This window comes from Homo sapiens, chromosome 2 (genome assembly GCF_000001405.40).
Source record: "Homo sapiens chromosome 2, GRCh38.p14 Primary Assembly".
Taxonomy (NCBI): Eukaryota; Metazoa; Chordata; class Mammalia; order Primates; family Hominidae; genus Homo; species Homo sapiens.
In genome coordinates, this window is record NC_000002.12 from 58,740,028 (window position 1) to 58,764,390 (window position 24,363).

Below are 24,363 nucleotides of genomic sequence, written 5' to 3' on the forward strand. Positions count from 1 at the left end.
CAGAGTGAATAAATTAAGAATTTCCAACATTTTCTCCAATTAAAGACATAGAGACTACCTTTTATTTTTATTTCTATTCACCTTTTATTTTGCCTTTTTATTCTTGCTGAAAAAATTATATCCCAAATATTTTTTATGCTCTTGGAAGTTAAATGCACATTGATATACTTTCACATACAAAGGATTCAACTTGGCATTGCTGGGTATAATAACACAAATAAGATATCCCCACCATATTAGTTTTTTATTGCCATTTAACAAATTACCTCAAACTTAGCAGCTTAAAATACCACCCATTTGTTAGCTCACAATTCTGTAGGTCAGAAGTCCAACAAAATGTGGCTGGGTTCTTTCTCTGCTCAGGGTTTCACAAGGGTAAAATCCAGGCGTCAGTTGTGCTATGTTCTTGTCTGGAGGCTTTGGGAAAGAGTTCATTTCCAAGGTCATTCTTGGCTGAATTCAGTTCCTTTGATTTGCATCACCGAGGTTCCTGTTTTCCACCTGGGTTTCCTGTCAGAGGCTGTTCACAGTTCCTAGAAGCTGCCTGCATGCCTTGTCCTGTGGTCTCTTCTATCTTCAAACTGGCAATGGAGAACTTCTCATGCATTAACTCCCCTGTGTACTTTGAGTCTCTGACTTCCCTTTCTGCTTGGATAAAAATTTCTGCTTTTAAAAGACTCATGTAATTAGGTCAGGCCCACACAATGATTAATCTTCCTATGTAAATGTCAGCTGATTTAGGACCTTAATTTCATTTGCAAAGACTTTTCACAGCAATACTTAGGTTATGCTTGATTGAATAACTTGGAGAAGGTGTGTGTACACCAGGGGCAAGGAATGGTGGAGGTCTGTCTTATAATTTTGCCTACTACACCTGCCCTAAGGGAACTTAACATCCTTTGAGATGGATAAAACAAGGATATAAAGAGTTAAGATGCAAGTGGTATTATAGGAGCCATAGGATAAAGATGCAGCAGATATTATAAGAGTTCAAAAAAAGGATAAACCACTTTTGTACAGGGAAATCTGCAGCAGTTTCTTGAAAAGGACCTGGAAGGGTGGACAGTATTTTTGTTCATGAAGATAAGGAAAAGATACCCCAGGCAGAGATAGTAGCACAAACAATGGCATAGAAATGACAAAGTGAAGACCATTTGGGAAAGGGTTGACAGCACTGTGTAGATACAGCATGAAAAATGTACAGAGAGGTGAGAATGGAATGACAAATATAACTTCTATTTGGAAAGGGCTTTGAATGCCAGGCAGATTAATTTGGCTCTAAGTTGGTGGGAATGGGTTATTAGTGAAGGTTATTGAGTATTGGAAAGATCTGATGGGAGTTATACTTTAGAAAGATTGATAGTAGAATAGAAACAGTTTGGAGTGGGTTGGGATCTTCCAGGGAGGCTCTTTAGCAATAGCCTAGAAAGTAATGAGAAAGGCCGGGTGCGGTGGCTCACGCCTGTAATCCCAGCACTTTGGGAGGCCGAGCCAGGTGGATCACCTGAGGTCAGGAGATCGAGACCAGCCTGGCTAACATGGGAAACCCCGTCTCTACTAAAAATTTACAAAAATTAGCTATGCGTGCTGGCATGTGCCTGTAATCCCAGCTACTTGAGAGGCTGAGGCAGGAGAATCCCTTGAACCTGGGAGGCGGAGGTTGTAGTGAGCCAAGATCACACCATTGCATTCCAGCTGGGCAACAGGGCAAAACTCTGTCTCAAAAAAAAAAAAAAAAAGAAAAGAAAGTAATGAAAAACTCAACTTAGGGAAAGTAAAAATAGAAAAAAGAGGATGGATGCATTGTGGCGATAGAGTTTATAAATTCAAAAACAGGCTGGATACATGGAGAGAGAAAAATGAGAAGTTGACTTCACTTGGAGCCTGCTCTCATAAGCAGAAATAGGGACACTGGAAAGATTTGTTTTGGAAAAAAAATATGATGATATAGGTTGTACATGGTTTAATTTAGGTGGAATCATTATTGAAAGTATTCTTGGTTCTAAGCATCAAAATAAGGCTGTCAGGAAGGAGAGAGTCACGGCCATATTGGACAAAGGGATAGTAAAATTAACAGGGATCTAAGGCTGCCAGGAACGGGCCAAATATGGAATTAAAATGAATCCAGTCATGGCAGTAGAAATGTGTTAAATGCCTGGCAGGGGAGATGCTTGGAGTCTCAGGCAATCATTGTGGAGGAGTCGGAGGCCATAGACACAGGAAATATGGTCTAGTCTCTCAGGGGGAAGGAATTAGTAAGAACTGGCTCAGAGACAAGGGACCCAGGTACCTCCTGAAAAACTGATGCACTATTCAGAAGCCATTCATACAAGTTGTCCAGACATATAGGTGACATGATTTAGGGGAGGGCTTAGGTCTGCCAATCCACAATTTCCATGGGCTCAGAGTAGACATATTGGAGGTAGAACTAATGTTGACCTCATGGTCTAGAATGGATGTGTCAATGTAGCAATATACATTAGCCACCTTGGAAACACATGACACTGTCTATAAGGTGAGGGTGTTCCTATCATATTCACAATTGAAAGGGAATAGACAAGGCTCAGACTATTATTTAATATACTGATTTTCAAAGGATGGTTAATCAAAATTTTCTTGCAGGCAGGTAGAAATGTAGTTCTGTCCCTCAAAAAAGTGAATGAGATTCTGTGTTCCATAGAATTTTGAGGGAAAGGAGGAATGAAATTTTAGATATATGATAAGTATAGTGAGCAAATTGTTATAATTAGTCTCACTCAATTTTTAGCAGAGAAAGAAAAAGAGATGGGTTCATGACAGGGCAGGCTTACTGGTTTTAAATAATCTAGTGGCCCGTCTTGTTTTTAGATGGAAGAGAAGGAGCCAGCAAAACTACTGCAGAGGAGGGTGGAGGGCCTGTCAGATGGTATGAAGTCCTATAGGAGACAGAGACAAAAGGATGAGCTTGGGTGAAGAGATGAAGAAGTTAGTGTGATTCTCCTCTCTAGTACGAGTAAAAGCTTAGGTTCTTCCTAAAATATGTAGAACACATCATACTCAATCAGCAATGTCCAAAATGTCCATCCAAAACTATTTAATATCTCCTTCATAAAATCTGCTTTTGAAAATACTTACATGTTAGTACATACTTGTACTTAATATTCGGACTTAGATATCCAAAGTTTCCCTTGAAGTCCTTTACTGGCCTTGTCTTTGGGAGGCTGGATAGAGAGGATGGGACTGTCATTGGAATTCCAGTTTATAGCTTCTTGGTTACCCCATGGGGTGGAGTAAGGCAGAGGGTTCCAACACCAAGCCAGGTAGATCAGAATCCTAAGTAGCCAGTGCTAGCAATGTGAAGCCAAGAGGACAAGATGAGGCACCAGCTGGAAGACAAAGTAGAGGATCAGCTGCCCAAAGCTGAAGAATTGACCTAGTGAAGAGGAGAGGATGAACCATGGTAAACTGCTAGGGAAAACCCAGAGAAGTGATGACATAAGGCATGGCTAAAGGTTGGATTTGTTTAAAACAATTATGCTTCAATTTAGTTCATGAAATTTAGTTTCTTTCCTAGTACTGCATCAAAGATGTTTCTACAGAGTCACAGAAAGTCTTAAATTGGCAGACTCCTTTTTAACTTTCTCCAAGGCCTTTCATGCCCTATTCTCTCCTCCTGTTTTTTTATGGGCATCTTTGTCTATTCAACCAAAAACAACTCTTCTACTTCTTAGTTATTATTTTTTTTTTCACATGGCCTCCATTTCTGCTGGAAATTTACTCCTAGTACCGTCTTCCAAAACACTTCTTTATGCCAGGAGTTTCTGAAATCCCACTTGTTCCATGCAGATATATTGGCAGAATTATGGAACCTTCTTCCAATTACCTTTCTAATCTAAATAAAAGACGATGGCATTCCTTCCACCCTTCAACCTCCAATAGTCACTTCACCTTTTGTGATACATCAGGTTAAGAGTCTTTGTGAATATAACTTACAAAAAATATGTAACGATCCAGTGTGGTGGCTCATGCCTGTAATCCCAGCGCTTTGGGAGGCCAAGATGGGCAGATCACTTGAGGCCAGGAGTTCCAGACCAGCCTGGCCAATATGGCGAAACCCCATCTCTACTAAAAATACAAAAGTTAGCTGGATGTGCTGGCAGGTACCTGTAATCCCAGCTACTCTGGAGGCTGAGGCAGGAGAATCCCTTGAACCCAGGAGGCAAAGGTTACAGTGAGCTGAGATGCACCACTGCACTCCAGCCTGGGTGACAGAGTGAGACTCCATTTCCAAAAGAAAAAGAAAAGTCCCAATCCTATCCTACCATAATCAAAAGATTTAAATTATAAATTTAAAATTTGTAATTTTAAATTTTAAGTCCTTGGAGCATATTTAAATCTCTTGATGTGAGGTGAATGAACTACAATGTATTTTGTTAATTTTATTTAACATATCTTTCTTGAATGCTCACTATTTTCCTAGGGTGGTAGTATGCTAGTGGTGGTGGTGATGTTTATGTGTGTGTGTGTGTGTGTGTGTATGTGTGTAAAGGGTAGACATCTAAGTAGAGAAGATAAATGTTTGCAAAAGCAGAGGCATTCCTGGAGAAATTGCAGTGGGTAAACTGTGGCTGGAGCACAAAATGCATGGATATATGAGGGCATGGTGGTATGGACAATTAATCCAGCCATGCTTGTTGAAAAGGAGCTAAGATGTTATTCTGAGGTATTTGGAGTGTATTCCAAAGACCATGGGGGAGCCACAGGTTTTCAACCATGTGATCTCCATGAAGACAAGATCTAAACCTTTTTTAGAAACATCCCACAGTGTCTGAGACTTCAGAACTAGATGGTGAAAGTTTTTGCTAAAATAAATTATACTTAATTCATGTGAAGTCAGTGTAATGCAGGGCCAATATTGTGACTGTACTGTAGTAGGGAGAGGCAAGAATCTGGGGCAACCTGTGGACCACTGATACATTCAGATAAAAGATGGTAGAGATCATAGAGTTATGGATGACTTTTATTTTTGTCTTCATACTTCTGATCATTTTGCAGTATCTTAAATGAACATGAATTACATTTATCATTAAAAAAACCCCATAGACCTTATTATACACGGAAATAGAAATGACTAACAGGCCTTTGGTGTGCTTTTAGAGAGTACAGGATAGAGTTGACAGGCATTTTGAAAATACTGGACTTGGATAAAGGAAGGATCTCTTGCTGCCACATGTGCATGTTTCATGTGCCTTAGATTTATTGAGTTGGATTTTGATTGCTGTGTTCTGATAAGCCTATAGGGTAATTCCAGGCCTCTGTAGGTGTTAGGGCTGGGGCAATGTATTAGTACATCTGCATGCTGCTGATAAGACATACCTGAGATTGGACAATTTACAAAAGAAAGAGGCTTAATGGACTTACAGTTCCACGTGGCTAGGGGAGCCTCACAATCATGGCAGAAGGCAAGGAGGAGCAAGTCACGTCTTACATGGATGGCAGCAGGCAAAGAGAGAGCTTGTGCAGGGAAACTCCTGTTTTTCAGCCATCAGATCTCAATGAGAGTTATTCACTATCATGAGAATAACACAGGAAAGACCAGCTTCCATTATTCAGTTACCTCCCACTGGGTCCCTCCCACAACACATGGGAATTGTGGGACATACAATTCAAGATGAGATTTGAGTGTGGACACAACCAAACCATATCAGACAGTCTCCCTAATAGACATTCGGGACATTGAGGTTTTCATGAAGGGAAATGACGTTTATATGAAAAGTCCAAAATAGGCTGTAAGAAGACTACTCTTAGCTCTGACCTCATTATTTCAGGCCAGCCCTTTACAGGAGACAATGATGCGGGAACCTTGAGATACATCCTTCAGGGACAGGGGAAACCACCTACCAAGGGGAGCAAGTTGGAAGCTAGACCAGGACCATTCACCCATAGAGGGCTATAAGCTAAAGAAAATGGAACTGTATTTCACACATTAGACTATCTAGTTGCTTGTTGTTCTCTGTATTTACTTCCTTTCTATTATCCTTGTTTAGTGAAGTCTTGTTCTGTATTTTATCTGAGCTAGGCTTTGGGGGAACTGAAAAAAATAGTTGTATTTCCACACTTGGACTAAAACATGAAATGGGGCCACTCTGCTTGGCTGTGGTAACAGAACTTAGTATGAGCTCATGACAGAAAGGTGAATCTTAGGGTATAGGTGGGAGGCTGTGAGTTCCAGACATCCCTTCCTAATAGTGATTGTCTCTGTTACTGTGAAGGATTAGGGTCTGACCTTTTTCAAGGTATCTGCATATATAAGTTAGTGCCTGTCTGAGGAGAAAAAGGGGAAAGAGCAGAATTAAGTAAGACTTGATGTTTCTGTTTTCCTAATTAAAGAGATCATGGTGCCGTGAACTGAGATAAGGCACTCATGAAGGTCAAGTTTTATGGAGGAAGGACTTCGAACATGGTAAAGATGAAGCATCTTTGTCCAGGTGCAGTTGTCCAGGAAGCAGTGGGACCTGGCTTAATATGAAGAAAGACATAGGATTAGGAACTAGAATTCAAGAAGTCACATCTCAATAGGGGGTGAGAATACCAGTTATACTACCACATGGCATTGCCATATGAACAAAATCAATCACCACAACACTATGGATAGCTTCTGGCAAAAGGCACTTATGTCCAGAGTTGGATAATAAATATAAAGGCACTTATGTCCAGAATTGGATAATATGTTACTCTTATTAAAAATAATAACCAGCAGCTCTGTGTATTCTGCTGTTAACTTCACATTTCTGCCATGTATTATTACTCTTTCTCTTTTTAGAAGCACTTTTAATTATGTTATTGTTAGACCTAAAGCAAAGATTTATTTGGAGAACTACATTGTCCCTGAGTAAGGAACTTTTTAGTTTCTGGAGAGAGTTGCACTTAGGATGTAATAACTAAAGCTTAAATATAGCATGATATATCTGCATCAGTCTTTTAAAAATTTTTTTACTCCTTAAAGCCTGGTAACTTTTGGTTTTATTTGAGGACTGAGAAAGCTACTCACATTTGAAATTGGAGGAAGGAAATAATTTCCTTTGAAACACCACAAAATCACTGCATGTTACTAATACTATAAGGCTTCTTTCCCATTCAGTTTATCTGGAGAAAAACTGATTTGCATATGTTTGCATCTATTTGCATGTTCAATTCAAGCTACTCCCAACTCTAAGTATATAAGATGAAACAAATTAACTCCTTGTTTTAACCTGCTGTGATTCTTGTCTAATGCTGTGTGGTGGGTTTGGAAATTGTAAGTGCCTTGGAAATTGGTGTAGAATTCAAGATGTGTGGAGGTGGGCATTCAGGATATCATGTTGGCCTTAGGGGCTCAGGGGCTGAGAGCTGGGAAGCCACAAGAGGCCTGGGAGAGTGTCAAAATGGGCAAATGTGTCCCCGAGCGTGAGCTTACAGAGCACCCCCTAATTGAGCAAGGGAAATCACAGAGGAGGGTTTTGAGAAACTGCCATCTGCAATCAGGGACTTAGAGCTACTAGAGGCGAAGCTTATCCTTGGTCCTCTGCCCTTGACATTACTGCCCTCCTTTCAAGGATCCTCTAGCATGTCCTTAATTTTTTACAAATCTATATTGTAAAAGGATGGCTTATCTTCATATTACATGTTCACTAGACAGATTATGGAAAAGAAAATCTTCCCTGAATTTTCTTCCCCTAATATGTGTGTGTATATATATTTATGTATGTGTGTGTGTGTATATATATATATATTTTTTTTAATATATATGTATATATGTATATATGTGTGTGTGTATATGTATTTATTTATATATATATATATATATAGTAGCATATCCATCAAACCATAGGAAGTAAAATGTTAGAGGAAATTTTAGGTTCTTTGGAAAACCAGTAAATATATTTTCTCCCTGGGAGTAGGTGGTCTTTGAAGCCACTACATAAAGACAGTTACTTCTTTACTTTCTTATTGGGCCAGACTTTAAGCCTGCTTTTATCAGGGCAGTAGCCACTTGCCACATGTGCCCATTGTACAAGTAAAATGTGGCTGAATTCTTCTGCATTGGGGTATGCTGTAAGTATAACATACATATTTGTTTTTTTGTGTGTGTGGAGATAAGGTCTTACAAAGCAGGGTCTCACAAGACAGGGCCTCACCAGCCTAGGCTGGTCTCAAACCTCTGGGCTTAAGCAATTCTCCTGCCTCAGCCTCTCAAAGTTCTGGTATTACAGGTATGAGCCACTGCACTTAGCTACGCATTGATTTTTAATGCTTCCTGTCAGAAAATAATGTAAAATTTTTCATTAATAGTTTTTTTAAAATGCTAATTACATGTTGAAATGATAATATTTTTGATATATTGGATTAAGTAAAATATATTATTAAAATAAATATTTTGCTCCTTCTTACTATTTTTTTTTAATGTGACAACAGGAAAACTTGAAATTATTTATGTGGCTTGCATTATGGCTCATACAACATTTCTGTTGGGCAGCACTGCTCCAAGGGAAACATTTCACTGAGGAGAAATCTTGAGCAAAAACTGAGAGTCCACGCTGGGGCTCTGGTGGGAAGCAATCGCTACCAGTTGCTCACACTCTAGATTATTGCTATTTGTGCTATGAATATCAGATGTCTTAAAATTATTTTAATGTGGATTTTGCTTGCTTTTCCTTTCTTTCCACCCTGTCTGTATTTCTACTATGATCCAATGTAGAGATAAGGGAAAGCCAGTGTCCTCAGCTTCAGGCCTATGTAAACGGATTTTAGTTGAAACAGTTTCTCCTGATGACTGTTTAAAACTAATTAGGTTTTGTCATTTATTCACATGGAATTTTGTCTCATTGAAATCTTGCTACTCTATTTAACCTACTTCTGGTTGGCGAATATCTGCTGCCATGTTAGGTTATGCTTTTTTGCTTAAATTAACTCCTAAATAATATAGCTTAGCAGATACAGGAGAATGAGTGGGGAAGGAAAAGTTTTCACTTTTTTTTTAAAATACAAGACTGATTTTATTATATTGCCAGAGAAATAAGTTAGATTGCTCTGGCAGTCTCAATAAATCACACATGAAGTCATTTTTTTTTTCTAAATTAAATTTTTATTTAAATAAAAGTGTTATGTTTGTATTTGAGCTGACAGCTAAATCTGATAATTAGAGTGCATGAAGTTGGCTTTGATTGGCATTGTAATTGGATTGTCATTGGGCTGAGAACCTATTATCTTTGGATCATGCCCCATGAAATCTGTTGAAGAAACTTTGCTGCCAGTCATTAGAGCCACCATCTTGGCTTACAAATTAGGTTTGAAAGGCTTCTTACCACTGGGAATGTAATTTAAACCACTGTAATTGCACTCCCATTAATTAAAATTATATTAAAATTATGGTTCATTTTCTAAATTTTTTTGTATTTTATTAGACATACTTATTACTAAATGCTTAACAAATTACATAGCAGTGCTTAGTAAAATTATGTTTCATAGATAATCCATCTCTTCAGCACATGTTACTCAGCATCAGTAGAATTAGTCACTGTTAATCATTAAAGGATATACTATTTACATTTTTCATTACAGGTTTCAGAAAGAAGCATTTCCTTTATTTCAACATAAAATGCAGGACCAGCAATGTGTCGTGTAAATTAAGATAAGTCCTGCCAATAAAGAAATATGCAGCTTTCCTTTAAGGAGATGTCATCCGTCATGGTCACAGTTCTTCCTACCTTAATTTCTTTCTTTTCTAAAACAATAGAATACTGTAAAAGACAGAAGTCTTTTTTGCCCCCATTTTTCTTTTTTGGATAGATGATTAAGAAAAAATTAAAAGCACACATGTGCCAAAATCTATGCTACTCTTTATTGCTGTTATTGTCTGCTAAAAGCAGATCAGCACTGATTAAGACAGAAAAGGAGCTTGTGAGAACTGGAAATGAAAATGATGTGGGAGATGGGGGGTGAGACAGGTCTCTCCCAGCTGGCAGAGAAGAGGATGTGTATGACAGGGTCCATGATACATCCTCTCTTGACTCTGGTCCTTCAATCTGCCCACAGCACCTTAGATACTACGAGCATCTGCCACCGTCTAGCGTATGGATGTGAAGAGCTAAGAGGCATACTTCCTGAGATACAGAACCAGGCAAAGATCCTGATATTTACTTCTCTTGTTTATTGCCCCCCGACCTTTTTGTGATTGATGTGATTATTCAGGAATATCTCCTCATCCCTCAATTTCTTGCCTATGGATAACTTTGGGGTGATAGTTTGGCAGCTTGGATGAAAACTTTCAATGAATTTAAAAGTATAAAATAAAGTTTTCAAATTTATGCTGTTTTTATTTAGATTGTACTGAATATCTATACCTCTCCCCTGCTCTCTCAGCTACATTTTTTAATGTACCTATTTCCATTGTTGCTTCTGTTTCTAGCTTCAGCGTTTTGTTTCTGACATGTAATAGATGCTCAATAAATGTTAAATTGAATTGAATTGAATTTGAAGTCTAAAGATTACAGCGTTACTTAGAGCCAAATCCCAGATAGGCTAAAATATCATATATGGGTGGCAGCATATAGGTGATAAAGTCTTTCATGGCTTGTTTTATTTACTCCCCTGTATGATGTTTTAGAGATGATTTAGGGTGAATACTGCTACTTGCTTTCCCATCCCTCTTTTCTTAATAGATGACGACATTGCAGGTCAGAGAACTGAGAGATCAAGAACACACAGTTATTGAATAAGTAGCAAAGCTGAGACTAAACCTCAAAATTTTTTCCAAGTTCAGTGTGCTTTCCATTTTCCCATGCTGCTCCCTGTTTTAAAAAAGGACCGCATACATCCCCAAGTGAGGGAGAATGTCTCACTTTCCTTTTTACTCACTGGTGGGAGAGGAAACTGGAAGACAATTAGCCATGGATTAAAGATCCTGTTTGGGCCCTGTGACCCTTTGAATTCCTTTCAAAGAATATATTCTAAAGATGTAATCATATGAGGACTTATTAAATCACAGCCAACTTTTATTGAGCCCAAATGAGCCAGGCATAGTGTTCAGCATTTTTCATACCTTTCCCAGTTTAAGTCTCAGAACAGTTTAATGAGGTATGTTCTTACAATTACTCTCCCCTGAAACAGATGGTGAAATGAGGCATGGGAGGATTTTGTATGTCCAAGTGTCTAAGTTCCATGGCTACGTAGAATTTGGATCCACATCTGATCCTAGAGCAATTTTTCCCCACTGCTTTGCTCACTGTCCAGTCTGTGCAGTGTTGCTTCATGCAAAGACAACCAGGAAATGATCTAAATAGGGAAATTATTTAGAAAAACATCCTTGAAATTCTACAAATGATACTTTAGATATAGATGATGGATGCCAAAAGATGATAGCAATAAAATTGAAATCTATAAAATGCTATGATCCCACTTTGTAAACATATGCCCATGGAAAAATATCTGGAGGGATTATAGCTCAATTTTTTGTTTTCTTTTTCTTTATATTTTCTATTTTAGCTACAATGAACAAACCTAATGGTGTCATTTTCTTTTTTAGGCTAAAGTACATTAATTGGGGAGTAGTTTAGAACTTTTGAAGCACTCAAATAGCATCAAGGAATTGTCATAAGGCGTGTCTAAGCAAAGCGAATTCCACTTGGATATGGTTTGGCCGTGTCCCCACCCAAATCTCATCTTGAATTATAGCTCCCATAATCTCCACATGTCATGGGAGGGACCCAGTGGGAGGTAATTGAATCATGGGGGTGGGTTTTCCCGATGCTGTTCTTGTAATAGTGAATAAGTCTCACAAGATCTAACAGTTTTATAAAGGGCAGTTCCCCTGCACATGCTCTCTTTCCTGCTGCCATGTAAGACATGCCTTTGCTCCTCCTTCACCTTCTGCCATGATCATGAGGCCTCCCTAGCCGTGTGGAACTGAGAGTCCATTAAACCTCTTTTTTTAAAAAAAATTTACCCAGCCTTGGGTGTTTCTTCATAGCAGTATGAAAATGGACTAATACAGTAAATTGGTACCAGTAGAGTGGGGTACTGCTATTAAGATACCTGAAAATGTGGAAGCAACTTTGGAACTGGGTAAAAGGCAGAGGGTGGAACAGTTTTGAGGTCTCAGAAGAAGATAGGAAGATGTGGGAAGGTTTGGAGCTTCCTAGTGACTTGTTGAATGGTTTTGACAAAAAGTCCAGGCTGAGGTGGGCTCAGATGGAGATAAGGAACTTATTGGGAACTGGAGCAAAGGTGATTCTTGCTATACTTTAGCAAAGAGACTGGTGACATTTTGCCCCTAGCCTAGAGAACTGTGGAACTTTGGAATTGAGAGACATGATTTAGGGTATCTGGCAGAAGAAATTTCTAAGCAGCAAAGCATTGAAAAGGTGACTTGGGTGCTCTTAAAGGCATTTCATTTTATTTTTTCACAAAAATAAGGTTTGGAATTGGAACTCATGCATAACAGGGAAGCAGAGCATAAAAGTTCAGAAATCTGCAGCCTGAGGATGCGATAGAAAAGAAAAACCCATTTTCTGAGGAGAAATTCAAGCTGGCTGCAGAAATTTGCATAAGTAACAAGGAGCCAAATGTTAATTGCTAAGACAATGGAAAATGTCTCAAGGGCACGTCAGACATCTTCACAGCAGCCCCTCCTATCAAAAGCCAGGAGGCCTAGGAGGAAAAAATGGTCTCATGGGTGAGGCCATAGACCCCCCTGCTGTGTGCAGTCTCAGGACTTAGTGCCCTGCATTCTAGCCCTGGCTAAAAGGGGCCATTGTACAGCTCAGGCTGTTGCTTCAGAGGGTGCAAGGCCCAAGCCTTGGTGGCTTACATGTGGTGTTGGGCCTGTGGGTCCACAGAAGTCAAGAATTGAGGTTTTGAAACTTCTGCCTAGATTTCAGAGGATGTATGGAAATGTCTGGATATCTAGGCAGAGATGTGCTGGCAGGGTGGAGCCCTCATGGAGAACCTATGCTAGGGCACTGCAGAAGAGAAATGTGGGGTGGGAGCTCCCACACAGAGTCCCCACTGGGGCACTGGCTAGTGAAGCTATGAAGAGAGGGTTACCATCCTCCAGACCCCAGAATGGTAGATCCACTGATAGCTTGCACCTGGAGAAGCCACAGACCCTCAATGCCAGCCTGTGAGAGCAAACAGAAGGGGAGCTGTACCCTGCAAAGCTACAGGGGTGGAGCTGCCCAAGACTATGGGAACCTACCTCTTGCATCAGTGTGACTTGAACGTGAGATATGAAGTCCAAGGAGATCATTTTTGGAGCTTTAAGATTTGACTACTCTGCTAGATTTCAGACTTGCGTGGGGCCTGTACCTCCTTCATTTTGGCCAATTTCTCCCATTTGGAACAGGATCATTTGCCCAATGCCTGTGCCCCATTGTATCTGGGAAATAAATAACTTCCTTTTGATTTTACAGGCTCATAGGTGGAAGGGACTTGCCTTGTATTAGATGAGATTTTGGACTGTGGACTTTTGAGTTAACGCTAAAATGAGTTAAGACTTTGGGAGAGTGTTAGAAAGGCATGAGTGGTTTTGAAATGTGAGGACATAAGATTTGGGAGGGGCTGGGGGCAGAATGATATAATTTGCCTGTGTCCTCACGCAAATCTCATCTTGAATTGTAGCTCCCATAATCTTGTGTCATGGGAGGGACCTGGAGGGAGGTAATTGAATCATGGGTGTGGGTCTTTCTTGTGCTGTTCTTATGATAGTGAATAAATCTCATGAGATCTGATGGTTTTATAAAGGGCAGTTCCCCTGCACTTGCTCTCTTGCCTGCTGCCATGTAAGATATGTCTTTGCTTCTCTTTTGCTTTCCACCATGGTTGTGAGGCCTCCCAAGCCATGTGGTCCATTAAAGCTCTTTTTCTTTATAAATTACCCAGTCTCAGGTATTTCTTCATAGTAGTAGGAAAATGGACTAATACACCCTTCTAGTTAATTTTCTTCTTATATTGCTTCTGGGCAGGGCCTCTCTGCTTTCCTCCTTGCATGCAAGCCCTCTGGTGGGCCTTTGAGCTCAACAGGGCATCAGGGAGAAGTAGGCTTGTTGTGAGGCCAGGCTTGGAATGTCTATGGCTGTTCATGAAGTGGAACTTATATGGGATTCAAAGCTTTGTTGTCATTATTGTTTAGCAGGAGCACAGCCTTCAAAGAGGAAGCATGACAGCCAAATTTTGGGTAGTTTGCACAAGTATGAGCTCCAGCAACTTAAGGAGCAGCAGGCATATTAGAAAGGAAGCTCAGAGAAATGAAGGAAAAGAGAAGCAAGATACCCACCTTTTGAAAAGAGTGGCTTATTCTCCTCTTTTGGTGACTTGGGAGGGTAAACAGTATATAAAAACAAAGGGCATAACTGGGAGCCCAGGAGAACAGGGCTGAGACAGGATGGAGCATTATGGTTTGGAGTCCAGCAAGGTGTGCTATGTGTGTAGGCTCTTCCTTAACAGATGCTTCATGTAGTCCTGCACATGCCATGGTCAAATCTCCAAAAGCAAACTGGGCATTGGTTTGGGTCTAAGCCATGGCTTATGATTTGTTCAGTGCCTTCGACACTTTGGTGTAAAGTTGGGGCAAGCACCCAGAAAAGAAGCTCTAGGTCCTCTATTCTTCTATTTGTACATTTGAGGTTTGGGGTGTCTAATAGAATCTCATTTGAACAAGGTCTAGAGCTAAAACATCATCTATGAAAGTTCAGAGGTTGGGTGTGGTACCTCACACCTATAATCCCAGCACTTTGGGAGGCCGAGGCGGGTGGATCACCTGAGGTCAGGAGTTCTAGACCAGCCTGGGCGACATGGCAAAACCCCATTTATACTTAGCAGGGTGTGGTGGTGCATACCTGTGGTGCCAGCTACTTGGGAAGCTGAGGCAGGAGAATCACTTGAACTCAGGAAGCAGAGGTTGCAGTAAGCCAAGATTGCATCACTGCTCTCCAGCCTGGGTGACAGAGTGAGACCCTATCTCAATAAAGTTCAGAGTATTTAGGAAATAGGAGCTACAATATGCAAGTTTCCTTGAGGGGAGAAATTGAGGAAAAAGGGTGCTGTCCATAAAATGCAGTCCAGAATGGGACGGCTGCGTATGGGGAGGACAGCAGAGGTGGACCCTGAAAGAAAGGGCAAAGGGGCAACCAAAAAAATCATCACCACATTTTCACAAGTATTTTATTTAACTGGTTGTGTATTTCTACTTGAGAAATGTCTAGAAATATTGCCAAATGATTTATTTGCCAAAGAAATTCTAAAGTTTTGAAGAATTAAATTTTCTCAGGCAATATCGGTCATTTAAAACTAAGTGTTGTTATAATATAGCCAACATAGAATTTTATATATAGATGGTGATTATATGTTTATAATCACCGTAAACTCCAGAGTGCCTCTGTATAATTTTTTGGTGTTTCTAGAGTTTTGATTTAAGTTTTCAGTTTCACAATGAGTTTACACTTTTAATATGGCACAATAGAATTCAGCTCCTCAGTAAAATTCAGCAATTCTGTTCAGCAATTTTTATGCTGTATAAAAGATGCAATTTAGCAGAGAAGTTATAAGGGTAAGCTTTGGAGCCAGATCCCCTGAACGTGAATCCCCTTCTGCCATTTATTAGCTGTATGGCCTTGGTAAAGTTTCATAAATTCTCTGTATTTCTATTTCCTCATCTGTAAAATGGGAATAATGACAGTATTTCACTGGCAGGCTTTTATTGAGGATAACAGCAATTGAAACTCTTGAAGTGGTTAGAACCATGCCTGGCAAAAATGAAGTTCCATAAATGTTAGCTATCATTGCTGTTATTGTTATTCTTAGACACTTACCAAATTTCAGGTACTGGGGGAGATACAAGGATGAAAAAGATGTATTTCTATTCTTCAACTATCTTAAATCTTAGATCGCTATTTTTCTCTATTTTATTCATTATATTAGGTTGTATTACTACTGCCATCAGTGTTTTCTATCAGAATTTCTGAGTTCCAAAGTTGTATTATTGAAAGAAATATGGAACTCTTTTTATGGATTTTTTATATTTCCTGGGAGAGATAGTTACCTCCTTCCTAAGCAAGTCAAGACCTAGCAATTCACTGCCTCTAAGGTGAAGCAGCCCCTCCCTAGATAACCACAGTGGGATTCCAGGAAAATCCTTTGAGTATAGCAAAGGCCCTATGCTTGCTCCCCTCTTGGTAAATGAAATCATTGCTCTCCCTTTAAGACTAACTTATCTAGGGGTGATGTTTAGCTGACATTTATGTTGAGATCGCTAAGTGTGCAGCTACAATATATGCACACATTTCCAGAATACCCACCTGCCTCCTCCTCCTCACAACACAGCTGGGTCCTCACATGCACATTTGAATTTTTTTTAATGTACTCTTCCCTGAAACTAAGAAAAAGAGTGGAATCTTTTCATTTTTTTCTTTTCAATTTGTGTTAATATAGACATAAGCCTTTATTGGGAAAAGTGAAACCAATGTGTATGAAACTTGGACTATATCCAACTGAAAATAAAAACGAGTTCAGATGCTTTCTATGTTGGTTTTTGCCTCACATGCAGATTGTGCTGTTTGGTGAGAAATAATTAGTCATTTACAGGTTCATTACATAGTACGGTTAAACTTGACCTTCTCTTCTCTTTGGCTTGCTGGTGAGAGACCTTTCTCAGTAGGTCCAGCTGGCTAATATGGCTCTTATATGTATAAACCTATGTAGTACAGTCTGTATTTTCCAACTCTAATGTCACTCTCTTTGAGATCCCGATTTTACATATGGCAAGGAAGAGCTTATGTGTCATTCATTTTTCAGTTCTTTGTATAAGATCTCTAAATGGGACGTCCATTCTCCATTCTACCCTCTACAACAAAAACAGCACATTGTTATTTAAAAAGCAAAGGCTTTATAGATTAGTTGTTGAATGTGATATTCATCTCATGAATAACTAATAACATAAAATAAAGAACAATGAAAATGCAAATTATCTGCACATATACAGTGGCAGTTAGCAGTACGAATATCCCTCCTGAGTTTGTGCAAGGTAGGAAAAAGCCAGTCAAATTTCTGATTGTACCTAGTCCTTTGAGTTGTTGAGACAATATCAGAATTCATCCTTTTTAGGACTCATTATTAAGGCATGAAAAAAGAGATTGAAATCTGGTAGAATTTTAATTCTTTCGTTAGCATTATTAATAAACAAGAATTGGCAGGAGCTAAACTGATTGGCACATACATCTGGAATAACAGAAATAAATAAAGTTTCAGAATGGGAGGTAGGGCTTCTACTACAGGGATTTTGGTTAGAAAATAGCATGTGTGTGGCAACAGGTTCAAATCTAAACAAACCACAAATAAATCTTACTGAGAAGCACTTTTAGTGTGTAAGATAGGGACAGGTGGGTGTCTTTCTTCATGAGTGACATGTGTGGCTTTTATTTTGGGAAAGAGATCAGAAAGTCTGTTAGGGAAATGGAAGTGGAGTGTAGGTTACCACAGCTGTGAAAAACTAGCCCAGGGAGACTCACCAGGGAAAGGTCTCATCATTTTAAGTATCAAATTGCCCTAGAGCATTATTTGCTGGATTGACTCTTAAGAAGACCTAAATGGTAAAGAAAAAGATCTCTGGCCTTTGAAATATTTATATGAATACACAGAACCAAGATTTTGTTTCATGTGTAAATAGTGAATTAGCTTTATTCATTTGATAAGGAAGCAACATACACCAAAAGCACTGAAATTGTCTTTTTCTTTTTCTAAACTGCTGCTTTTTTCCAGTCTGTGTGCCCATCACGCACAGTACACTTGGTCAATGCATTCAGTGAGAACGATGATGGTTAAAGGTTGGATTTCATTTCCTTGACAGTCTGCAACCAGAAGATGACTCTCTGCTTTGGATTCTAGTGGTAGTTCGCCCCGTGTCACTTTTGGTAAGGATCCCACAGAATAGTCATGCAATATGATGTGGACAAGGAAGATGCAAACATTACAGGATGTGCCTTTTTATAAGGCATTAAATTACCTTCAATTCTTTTCTTTTCTGGGTGAAAGAGAAAGATGAAACTGAAGGCTCGAGAGCACCATTGAAAAGCAACAGGCCTCGCAGATGGCTGACCCAGATAACTGATAGCATGACATTACAGCCTCGCTCTGTGTGGTGAGCTCTGGCAACCCTGAGCCCCCTGGCTGCCCGCCACTAACTGCCAGGCTAAACTTTGCTTCCTGTGGTCACTCTGAAATTGTCGTTAGCCTAATGGAGGGGCTCCCCACCCTACCTACCCACAGACCAGGCCTCGATATTTCCTTCTGCATCACCTCTTGAGAGACTCACTGCATTGAAGAACTTGGGGCATTCATGAAACTTTTGTCTTGAGTCTAACATGGCTTAGATCAGTTCTCTTCAACCAGCTGTACTCCAGTGCCCTTAGTCACGTGGAAGAGTTAAACTCTTACTTCGTTCATGCCAAATCAACCCTCAGCAAGAAAACCATTTCTTTTTAAAAATGCAGAGAAATGTACATTGTACTCCATAATATGTCTGTGTTTTAATTTCTTAAAGTATTTAACAACCATCACCTGCTGCCATGACTGCAGCATTTTAGAGAAAAAGTGATGTTTAGTGTGATCCTTAAACCAGCAGTATCAACATCATCTGGGAACTTGCTGGAAATGCAGATTCTCAGACATCCACTTACAGAATCAGAAACTCTAAGGGTAGAGCTTAGCTATCAAGCTCCACTGGTTCTTAACAAGCTCTCTAGGTGACTGTGTTGTATAATAAAGTTTGAGAGCCATGTGCTGTGTTAACCTGGGGACTGTGAGTATTTTCTGATGTGGGTACTCTCAGGCATGTCATTCCCAAATTGGAGAAGCAGAAGATAGTTGATGGGAGCAGAGGTTCTTCAGTTTTTTTTTTTTTTTTAAGGAAATGTTTACATATGGGAAATACATATGGTCCCCAACTTACAATGGTTCAACCTACTATTTTTTTTAACTTTACAGTGGTGTAAAAGTGGTACACATCCAGTAGAAACTGTACTTTGAATTTTGATCTTTTCCTAAACTAAGATAAACTCATGACTATCTGTAGCATCCTCATCATCCAGCAATTAATTTTAGTTCAGTGCTTCAACATTCTTCAGGCCTACTGTGCCTTCAGCTGTATACATTAATGATGAATACTCGTACGATGATTCTGTTTTTTACTTTTGGTACAGTATTCAATAAATTACATGAGATATTCAATGATTTATTATAAAAATATGCTTTGTCTTAGATGATTTTGCCCAACTGGAGGCTAATGTACATGTTCCGAGCATGGCTATTGATGTTTGGTAGGTTACATATTGTATTAGTTCATTAGTTCATTGTCATAAAAACCTGAAGCTGGGTAATTTATAAAGACAAAAGGTTTAATTGGCTCACAGTTCTGCAGGCTGTGCAAGAAGTGTGGTGCTGGCATCTGCTTCTGATGATGGCCTCAGGAAGCTTACAGTCATGACAGAAGGTGAAGTAGAAGCCAGACCATCACATGGCAAGAGCAGGAGCAAAAGAGAAAGGGAAGAAGTGTTACACTCTTTTAAACAACTAGAACTTGTGTAAACTGACTGAGTGAGAATTCAGTCATCACCAAGGGATGGCACTAAGCCATTTATGAGAGATTCACCCTGATGACCCAATACCTCCTACCAGGCCCCACCTCCAACACTGGAAGTCACATTTCAATGTGAGATTGGAAGAGGACAAACATCCAAACCATATCAGTGTGTTAAATTCATTTTCAACTTATGATGGGTTTATTGGGACATAACACCATTGTAAGTCAAGAAGCATCTGTACTTACTTGGATGTACCCAAAGTTCATTGAGTTGGCCCTTTCATAAATATTTACTGAGCACTTACTGTGCAGGCACTCTTCTGTGCATTAGAGATACAACTGTGGACAAGGATAGCCAATAATCAAGTGTAATGTCAATAGAAATAAGTGCCACAGAGAACAATATAGCAGTATATAGGATCAAGAATGTCTGAGTTAGGATTGCTCTTTTGGACAGGGTGATCAGAAAAGGGCTTTCTAAAGAGGAAGCTTTTGAGCACACCTGAGTGAAGTAAAGGACCAGGTTATGAGACTGTCTGGTAGAAGATATTTCTAAGCAAACTGTGGATGATACCTTTGTCAGTTTCTCCAACTTAGAATAGAGAAGCCTCGATACTGAGAACATTTCTTATCTTTTCCTTCTGGGCTCTAGGTCACTGGGACTCACTGTCTCGTTCCCAAGTCAACTCTGTGCTGAAGACACGTTCAATAGGAAGAGGTGGTTTAACTCTTCTGGCAAATATTATGCATGGTGGCTGTCCCTGAGAGTATCTGCTAGAGCAAGGGGTCAAGCATTGAGTCCTAGGCCCTGGGTGAGCAAGGGAACCAACTGGAACTCTAGACCTCTCTCTCACATCTCCCAGAGCAAAAACTAGGAAAACAATTTGCAGTGTTTTTACTCCATAGATGACATTGAAGTTCTTCTCATGTCTGGATGTAGTGTATGGATGTGAATATAAATCTCTCACAAACTTTCGTACTTTACTAGTAGCAGCAACACATTACTTGTAACCTTACTTTGTGAGTATTCCAGGCACAGCACTTTGTCAAGACAAAGCCCTAGGTTAAAAAGTACTGTGAGAGAGGTCAAGGTAACAGATTCAATCCCTATCTGTGGCAGTTATCATTCCCCTAGAGACTCATGACCCTTCATAAAGTGGATTTTTTTTTAAGTAAATACCATTAGCATCAGGGAGCATGGGGCATGGAAGTACAAGTCATTCTCACCAAAGGCTTGCCAAATAAAGGCAATATTGACAGAGGGTTAAGACGGAAATTAAACAATTTGTTTGTTGCAAAGTATGGTGGAGGCTGAGATTCAACTAGCAGAAGCAAAAATCATTTCTCTTTCCTTAATTCATAGCCCTTTTTTTTTTAATGAAAATATTCAATGAAAGTAGTATTCAACAGTAGTTTATGATCCTGAAGAGCCACTCAGGGGTTTCCCCCTTCATCCTACTGAAAATGCACAGAGACTTCACAAGAGAGTTTCACTGAGCAGCAGTGGTGATAGTACAACCAGGGCTTTACCTGTCTTTGAAGATGAACAGCAGAACATCCATCATCCATGAGACCCACTGTGCTACCAAAAGCGTAAAGAAAACCATGAGTGCAGTGTTGTGATTCCCAAAGATATTTCTAATGATTTTCAAAACAAGAGCAAGAAAGGAGTCACAATTGTACTCTATTCCCACTTGAGATACAAAGGACATTTTCCCCAGGATATGGGGACTGATTAAGCCAGCAGTATCAACATTATCTGAGAACTTGTTAGAAATGCAAGATCAAGCACTTTCTTCTCATTCTTTTTCATTCATGTGCTTTCCCTCACACTGCTTTACTTTCTCTGCCTTTCATTTCTCTGGTTTATCACTGGCTCCCTCATCCTTCAGCCCTTGGATACAATGTGAAGTTTGAAACCTCCAGCAGTCCTTTCCTTCAAAGAAAGCATGTAACCCCCACACTGGAATGTCTTTGGAGCTGTGTGAATAAATGTGTTGAGAAGGAGTAGATGGTTCCCAGGTAATTTTTGCAGACAGAACGGCAATCCAATTCTGGATCTGCAGTCAAACCATCTGCAGAGATAAACATCAGAAGCAAATTTGTATTTGTGGGGGAAACTGTCCTTCGTCCTCAACCCAACATTGAATCTGAAATATTTACAAGCTTTATTACATGTAGAATTGGTTTTTAATGCTTTGAGGTGTTGTGTAGGTGAAAGGGAATGGAGCTGATAAATGTAGTTACATTCTTGCATCCATTGGTGACACAATTTTCCAAAAAAGTCATTTTGCATGTAGAAAAAAATAATGATGGGGGAAATGAAATAGTGTCATAAAAATGTATAAAATAATCTGGCAGGGCTCAAAATTTGAGAGAGATTTGAGGCCAAGCAAAAGACTCTATCAAAAAGACTTTAAATGCTATCTCCAATTTTCTTAAATTTAGATAATAAGAACATAACATTTTTCAATCTAAAATGATTCCCCTTGTTGATGGGGGTCTGAGAGCCAGGGCTGCAAGACTGTTCATTCTGGTTTATCTTCAGATGAAATCCAGCCATGGGGTTCAGGTGGAGGGCATCGAATTGTTGTGAGAAAGCAGTGGTGTAGAAATCTCTCATTGCACCGGCATCAGACTTTCTCACATACACAGAGATAGAACATTATAATTCTCCGCCCCACCCTGCATTCTTGTGGGATTTAAGAAATTCCTGCTCTCACTTTCTACAAGGGCTGGTGTAGTTCATGCTGGTGCCAAATTGGTCACAAGGGGGCACCGAAGTGCCACAAATTTTGCCCTGGGACCTTTCTACACATGCAAATTTCCAGCAACAGAGGCCACAGAACTGTGGCCCTTCAGGAGCATTCTTCCCAAGCTTGCTTGGCAGAGGCATCACCATGGTGGTTGGAATCATAAAACATCGCCCACAGTTTGTGTCTGCCCAAGTGTCCATCTTGGTGCCAGTTTGAAAGTATTCCACCATGGTGGTTGAAGCACCATATTAAGGTTCTTTCTTTAAAATATTTTTTTTTCTTTAGCTAATTCAGCCCTGCATCATGTTACTTTTAGAGAAATTGTTACAAAAATCCATTTGAGAGGAATCTGTTAATTAAAAAAAAATTGATAGTACACTTTCTAACAATACATTTCAAGTATTGGTGTCCTGAATCTATTCCTAACAGGGAAACTATTATTTTCTTTTTTAACTGTTTGCCAAAGGAGACAGTCATTTGTTTATTTATTTACTGTGCATTGTCTTTCCTCTTTACCTGAAAAGTGAAGAATTGGCAGGGTTCTTGCTGCAACATGAAGAACCATGGGATAATTTCATGGAGCAACAGTGAAGTTATATGTTAGTTTCTCTCACTTAGAGAAGATGGGGAATTTGACTATTGATTTCAAATTTTCTCTGTCTGGGCAGGAGAGCTTGTATTTTATTAAATGCAGTCAATTTGTGGTGAAATATTCTTTTTATTTTTCAAGATAGATTGCTGATTTACTTTAGAAGGGTGGGAAAATAAGTCTGTACCTGCTGAGTGCTGAAGAGAAGTGTTTATTTGCTTTATTGATTTGATCCATTTTTGTGAGATGTTTTCTATGTATTTTTCATTTGGCTACAAAACCTGCCCACAAATGGTCCTGGCTGTTGTACTGCTTCAGCATTCTGGAGAATAGCTCCAAAGAGTAGAGTTTGGAATTTGCAAATAATTCTTTTGTTGGAGAAGCCTTTCGTGGAGAGAAGCTCTGTGCCTCGGATATGGACAGGCTTATAACAGCAACCTCTATACTTTCCAGTGATCTTGATTGGTTAAGTTGTCTTACGGTTCGAGGGTATGAACAAAATAAGTTTTGGCTTCCCAGCTAGGACCCTCAGATCATTGTTAAGTGGGAAGCATGATCAATCACAGGTACTAACATAAATACCAAGAATATTAAGCTTTCAAAAATGGTCCTTCTGGCCTTGAATTCTTTATTTGGTATCAGAGGATGAAAGCTTCCTGTTTAAAAACAAAATGATGATACTGCTTCCGATTGAAAACTTATTCATTTATTTAAAAGCTAGACTTAAAAAAAGCTAGACTTTTAAAAGGCCATTCAATTATGATGAGCAAGAAGAATGTCTGATCTATAGTTTTAAGTGGAAAAGTATAATGTACATACTATGTATATAAAATTTTACTCAAAATTTTACATACAAGATGTAAAATGTGAGTATGTTTATATGTAGCAACTGGGAGGCATTTTGGATTACATAGGCTATTTTGTAGGGATTTAGATTATAGGTGACTTTAAACAAATTTGGTTGTGTTAATTTTAGAACATTATTTATGCTAAAAAAGAGCATTGGATACTTTTGTAAAATGATGACTCCTTTATGTGATTGGGACTAATTATCTTGACATTTTCTGGCTGAGTTAAAAAATTTTTTGAATGTTGGGTTTCTTTCAAGTCATATCTGATTCCATTAGAGTTGACCATTTCTACTTTCTTTACAGAGGAAATCAGACCAAGATTTTTAGATCTAGACTGGAAAGATAAACATAAATTTTATTGCAATTTAAATTACATATAGTATCCATCCAATTTTGACAGAATAGGCTCAGGATTCATTGATATTTTTTATTTCTTCGATAATGAGGTAGAGAAAATAAACTTGACAAATTCTAAACTATACTCAACTGTTCTAGAAATAATATATAATAAGCTTCCATTAATGGAATGACCTGTTGCAATGAAGTATATTTTTAAAAATCCTTATGTATATATTTCAA

The 24,363-nt window shown here is 39.1% G+C and overlaps 1 long non-coding RNA gene across 1 annotated transcript in view, besides 1 other annotated feature; it reads left to right on the plus strand.

Annotated features, from left to right (window-relative positions):
* The window catches only part of LINC01122 (long intergenic non-protein coding RNA 1122), a 543,014-nt gene that overhangs the window by 219,275 nt on the left and 299,376 nt on the right, over positions 1-24,363 (plus strand). The gene's annotated exons all lie outside the window — the stretch shown is intronic.
* Positions 8,576-9,953: an enhancer, noted in NCBI's record as "VISTA enhancer hs1067". NCBI's record gives its function as "enhancer in: dorsal root ganglion[3/7] | limb[5/7]" and the evidence as "EXISTENCE:transgenic organism evidence [ECO:0001131][PMID:17130149]".